General features: G+C 40.0%; 1 long non-coding RNA gene and 1 pseudogene across 1 annotated transcript in view; both read right to left on the bottom strand.

Annotated features, from left to right (window-relative positions):
• Nucleotides 389-921, bottom strand: RPL32P9 (ribosomal protein L32 pseudogene 9; annotated as a pseudogene).
• The window catches only part of LOC105374313 (uncharacterized), a 54559-nt gene continuing 48651 nt past the window's right edge, over nt 402-6309 (bottom strand). Inside the window, exon 3 of the long non-coding RNA NR_136187.1 lies at nt 402-892. This is a non-coding gene — a long non-coding RNA (uncharacterized LOC105374313). The remainder of the gene's footprint in view (nt 893-6309) is intronic.

Genomic DNA, 6309 nt, shown 5'->3' with positions numbered 1-6309 from the left:
GTTTTCCTGGGCAGCTCTCTGAACATTTGAGCTCCTTTAATTGGGCCACGAGTTGGAGTTATTTGCTTTCAGTGTGATGAAGAAGAGAAGGAGAGAGAGCAAAAAGCACTGTAGGCTATTGTAAGGCCAGGCTGGAAGGGGGTGCATAACTCATGTCTACATTTCATCTGTCGGAAGTCTTTTATATGACCAATCTGACTGCAAAGGAGTCTGGAAATGCCATGAAACACATGGATTTGGGAGAACACTGATGGTTTTTGCCACACCATCTCATAGGACTGGTGTGAGAACTAAATGAGCAACATGTATAAAGCACCCACAAATATTTTATTCTTTTATTTAGATTTTCTTGGTTTTTGTTTTTGTATTTTTTGTATGTTTTTAAGGGGGAGGATGCCAGATGACAGAGTATTTATGGTTTTATTTAACACAAATAAAATGTGTACATGAGCTGTCTATTAATTTTTCTTGCTGTGCAGCCTGGCATTGGGACTAGTGACTCTGCTGGGCTGTCGGGTTACTCTCTCCACAGTGGCTTTAACCGTTCTTGGAGAAGCATGTTGAGCAATCTCAGCACAGTAAGATTTGTTGCACATCAGCAGCACTTCCAGCTCTTTGACATCGTGGAACAGGAATTTTTGGAAGCCACTGGGGAGCATGTGTTTTGCTTCTTTTTGCTCCCACAACCAATGTTGGGGATCAAGGTCTCGCCTTTGATTTTTCTCCCCACCCTGTTGTCAATGCCTCTGGGTTGCTGCTATATGCGTACATCTAATTTTGATATGTCAGTCTGACTGGTGAAGGATAAACTTCTTGGTCCATCTTAGATGATCTTGGGCTTCACGAGGGGTCTAAGGGTAGCCATGGTGTCAAGAAGGAGATGGCTTTCCCTCTGTAGGCAACACGCAGGAAGAGAGGGGAAGATTTTTTTTTTTAACTTTTGATATAAAATTAATAGATCTTCACTATAGAAAAATTAAATAGTATACATAAGCAAAAGAATACAACAAAAGTCCCCAATAATCTCAACCTCTAAAGATAATAGCTATTAAAACATGAATCTTTTTTCTTTTAAAAAATAAGATTTTATTGTGCATACAGTATTAGAAGCTTTCTTTTTAAAATCATCATTTACTGTGGTATAATTCCTTTGTGTTATTATATTCTTTTATAGATCATCCTTTTCAATAACTGCGAAGTAGTGAGTCTTACAGATGTACTATAACAGTCAAACACTTTACCAAATGTTGGGCATCCTTACTATTTTAATTAACACTGTGATGAACATTTTGTGCTAAATCCTTGCACATCCTCAGCTCTTCCTTTATTAATGTGGGTTTTTTCCACTTCATTTAGCTCTCTGTGTTTGAGCTGGGCATACACAGCAGAGAATGACTGGCTGGTCATGCTGGTCACTTAATCAACCATGCAGAATGGAACTGGTGGAACAGGTTGGGTTTATTGCTGTAAAAACCAGCCAACCATAGCTTTGACTTTTAAAATTATTCCCATTCCCTAGAGATTATGCCCCAGCTCAAACCTTCTCTGGCATACATATTGCAAGAACTGCCTCATGCATTATCTCATATTCTTAAGAGAATACACTGTCATCTTTGCCTGAGTCAAGAGGAGGCCCTGGCAGCACGGGCTATGTTACTATTTATAAAGCATGTTTTATACATGCTAGAGGATGCCAAATGTATTAAGTCAATGAGAGTCATTTGCACAATGCATGTGGGATCAGGATATAAAATGATTTGAAGTCCTTTTTTGGTACAGAGAATATTTTAATGTTATATAAAATCTACAGATCAGCTTGCAAACAGAATTTTTTTAAAATCTGGCAAAACTGTTTTTATAAGGACCATTTCTGTTCTCTTAGAACTTTTTCTAATACTCACCTTTAACTAAATAGGGTTCAGACAGTGGTTAGTAAAACCCTTAAATGATTGTGCCACCAACCACTATTTTAAAAACACCTCAGCTCCTTGGTTACCTACATTGCCTACACAGGATGAAGTCCCAACCCTTTAGCACTTGCAGTTTCTGTATCCTTTCAAGTCTGGTCCCAAACCTCCCTTTGCAACTTTGTCTCTGCCTGTCAATCCTTTCTTAGTGATCCACTATGGATTATAACACTTTATATCATGATTGGTTTAAAATATATCTTTCCCTCTCTATAACATCTTTTTTTATTAACCATAATATCCTGTCCCTCTCCTCTGCCTACGTCTAAGAACCTAATACCTGAAATACAGTAGGTAATCAATACATGTTTGTTACTAATAATAGCTAAAAAGTTAAGAATGGCTAGCATTACTATGTTCTAAGACCTTTGCTTATGTTTTCTCATTTAATCATCACAACTTTGTGAGAGTGATACCATTATTATCCCCATTTTATAGACGAGGAAACTAAGGCACAGAGGTTAATCAACTTGGCCAAGATTCTAACAACAGATGACAGAACTGAGATTGAATCTAGGCAGTACTAAATCTCCAAAATCCTGGTTCTTAACCTACACTAAGTGAAATTCATTGCAAAATGAAAAGTATTCACCATGTCATTGGGACAGAGACCACATGTAGGGGAGCAGTATAGTTTTTTTGATAGATGCACAGCTCTGCAGATGGACTACTTTGGTTTAAATTTTGTTTTTAACATGAGCAGCTTTGTGAGTTCGGAAAATTTAAATTTTACTTAAATTTTCTCAGCCTTGTTTCCCCATTCATTAAGTGTGAAGAATAGCAGCCCCAATCTGATAAGATCATAGTGAACATTAAATAATACAATCTTTATGAAGCCTGCAGGATAATGCCTAGCATATCATAAGAGCTCAATCAATACTGTATACATGTAGATATTATTACCAGCTCAAAGACCTGGATTTATTGCTAATTGCTGTCTTGGAGTGAATATTCCAAATGCTTTGGCAAATAGGTCATTCGTTCCCCAGTCACCTGCTTCATGCGCAAATCTGTGCATATATGTACACTGGTCACACGCACAGGTGACATGAACATGGAATTACAAGACTCCTAATTCGACTAGATGGCCTTCCAAAGTGCATTCTGCACCAGTCATATTTGTTAGGGCTTTCCAGGGAATCAATAAACAGTGCTTCAGTGTCACAACACGACAGCACTTGGAGACCTTCTGGTTCCAACATTCCATGAATCAAAGATTAAGGCCTCTCCTAGCCCTTAGGCAGTCATGAGAATTTAGAAATAGAGAAAAGATTGGAGCTCCATCCAGAACCTGGAAAAACACCGTCCCTTCAACTGATCTACTATGACACCAGCACCCAGCATCCAGCCCACAAGCCTGGCTAAGCTTGACTTTCCGGAGACTAAACTCTCATTGCGTTCTTCTCCTATTAGGAGGGAGCCGGATGGGATTTGACCATGACCTCATATGTACTCTTGTTATATTTCTAGTGGGTCCAGGCAGCTGTGCCCTGAAAATACAGCTCTGACTAGAGGAAATACGATCTCTTTTCTTTCATCACCAAAGCTCCAAGCTAAAGCTAAAGGTAAACTAAACTTCTGAAAAGGAAAAGGAGAAATCATCCAGCCCAATTCAGAAGAATGCTGGGAGAGAGGAAAGGCAGAGTAAACAGTGTTTAAAGACGAAGCAGCAATAGACCATGGCAATGATCACAGTGGGTAAATGCAGAGCCTCCAGCCTGCACAGATGGGGAGCTCACCTCCTTCACCCCCAACTGCAGGCAGGACAATTGCTAAACAGCCTTAAATTCAGGCTGATATTAGTCAGGCTTTACTGATGAGAAAGGGCTTGGAGCACATCTTAAGCTGCCTGGGGTCGTGAGTCAGCTGTACTTTCAGAGGAAGTGGTCACTGGGAGGGGAAAATAGAATCATAGATGTTAGTGTTGGGAGGAATTTACTCAGTTCTGCCCCTCATTTTGCCTGGGGAGGAACCAAGGGTCAGAGTGAGTCCACTTGCCCAACGTCACAAAGTGAATTTGGGGCAGAGCGTGACTGTTCTGTCCCTTTCCTACTCTGTCCCTTTCCTCCTGACACTTTACTCCTCCTGCAGCTGGCTCACGTGCGGCCCTTCCATCCTACCCTCTAGTCAAGCCTCTAACATAACGCAGGCTGCATATTGGAGCTGTGCCACCCCAGTGTGCTGCACAGTGGAAAGGAGAATGCGTGACGGCATTACATAGGAAATGTCATGGCGTCTGTTTTTCCTCCCACTTGTGGAAATTAACTTCATTTTGGATCCCATATATGAGGTTAATTTTCCACCCAAAGGACAGACTACAAAGCTCCCAGATTAAAGAAAGAACTGAGAGCTACATCACTCAGGGAGCTTTTCCTAAGCAAGCAGAAGGAGGTGCCAAATATGTTTCCAAACACTGGACACAGTCATTCTTTTGCTACATGCGGCTAATGCTTATCAACATTTTCTTAGCAAGAAAAGAAAGAGAATCAATGTCAGAATGCTTCTAGTAACTTTTATCGAGTACTTATTGTTTGCCAGGTAGTTTTATTTCATCCTCAACAACACCATTTTTTTTTTTTTTGAGACAGAGTCTCGTTCTGTCGCCCAGGCTGGAGTGCAGTGGCACGATCTCAGCTCACTGCAAGCTCTGCCTCCCAGTTCAAGCCATTCTCTTGCTTCAGCCTCCCAAGTAGCTGGGACTACATGCACCCGCCACCACGCCCAGCTAATTTTTTGTATTTTTAGTAGAGACGGGGTTTCACCGTGCCATTTTTTTTAAAAAAAGGAAATAGAAGCACATAGAGGTTAAGTAACTTTCCTAAAGCCTTGCAATTAGTAGTCTGACTCCAGGACTTGATTCTTCATCATGCTTTCCACTCTCTTGTAAGACTGCATATAATTCTTGCTTTAAAGCATGGGTTTAGTCATTCTCTTCAAATTTCTATTCGCTTCATGAAGTCTTAAGTAAAGAACCCCTCTTGTTATTATTATTGATCAATATCTGAACCAAATCTAACAGCTGAGATGCTGGTGTTCTGTTGATTTGCAGTTCTCACAAAATGTTCCTTTAACAAGATTTCTTTCTGTTTAAATGTGCTACAGGCTATGTAACCAATGTTAAAATGTTGGTATATTTCCTTCCTGCCATTTTCCTTTTTTTTTTAACGTGATAAAAACCACAGCCACATTCAATTTCTTGACTGCTCATTTACCATTTTTTAATGAATAAATAAATAACATTTCATTGAGTAGCTCTTTCATTATAAGCTTATGATGATACATAAGTAGGGCACATAAAACCCTATGATGAGATGTTTGGGCTGTTTCAAAATTCCTTATGTCATCAACAATGGTAATACATTATTCTTTATTTACTAGATATATTTTATTCCAGGTTAACAGAGATTTTATTCTCTGAAGGAGGCTCAAAGCAGGGTTTGTGTGTTTATGAGTTCAGGTGGGAAGAGTTTAAGGAATGCATCTGGGTCATGAGCCAACCTAGAAGTCTCAGTAAGTTCAGTGAGCAACATGAAAGGCCTGCGTACGTCAGTAGCAGCAACAGAAGCAGTTGCCACACCAACCAAGAGAATATGTGCAAGAGATTTCAGAAAGCCAGAAACATCACTAGGTCTCAATGTCCCAAGTGAAGAGAAAACTCTCATATTACAGGAACACTGACTACCAATCCACACGGAAGCAGTTTTTCTGAAAGTGACATAACAATTGTGTTTTCCAGATTACTCAGGGCATTCTTAGCTCTTTGTGATCAATAAAATTGACAGCATGCATGCACATCCACACAATCCAGAAGTGATCGCTTTCTGCTCATTCATGTAACAGAGGTGGGAGACCTTGGGATGATGAGGCAGAAAGGCCCGAGTTAGGATCTCAGCTTTACCCCTTCCGGCAATATGACTGTTAGTTAACATGACTATTTCTCAGTTTTCTCACATGTAAAATGGGAATCCCATTTAAGAGAATGAGTAAATAAATGAATTTTAAAAAAATGAAAACAACAAAACATTACATAAATTTTAGCTCTTAGATATTGTTAGGGCATGTAGAAATGCTGACTATTTTATAATCCTTATCCATCTTGGAGGCTTAGGGTGGAAGTGGTTATATAAGTGTTTTATACTCATTTAATAGGGTAGTTTGAGATTTTTAAGTGGGAGATATTGATAAATGTTTTATTTCTCCTGCTGTAGGAGTCTCTTTTGAGACTCCTATCTCCCTGCCCCTGCCCCCCAAGACGGCCCCAGTGGTATTCAAAGTCTGAGCAGTGGTGTCTCCAGGGGCCTGAGCAGCTTTTCTATTGCTAGGCACCAGGAAGGCCCCCTGC

This window comes from Homo sapiens, chromosome 3 (assembly GCF_000001405.40).
Source record: "Homo sapiens chromosome 3, GRCh38.p14 Primary Assembly".
Classification (NCBI taxonomy): Eukaryota; Metazoa; Chordata; class Mammalia; order Primates; family Hominidae; genus Homo; species Homo sapiens.
This window is presented reverse-complemented; position numbering and strand designations above follow the sequence as displayed.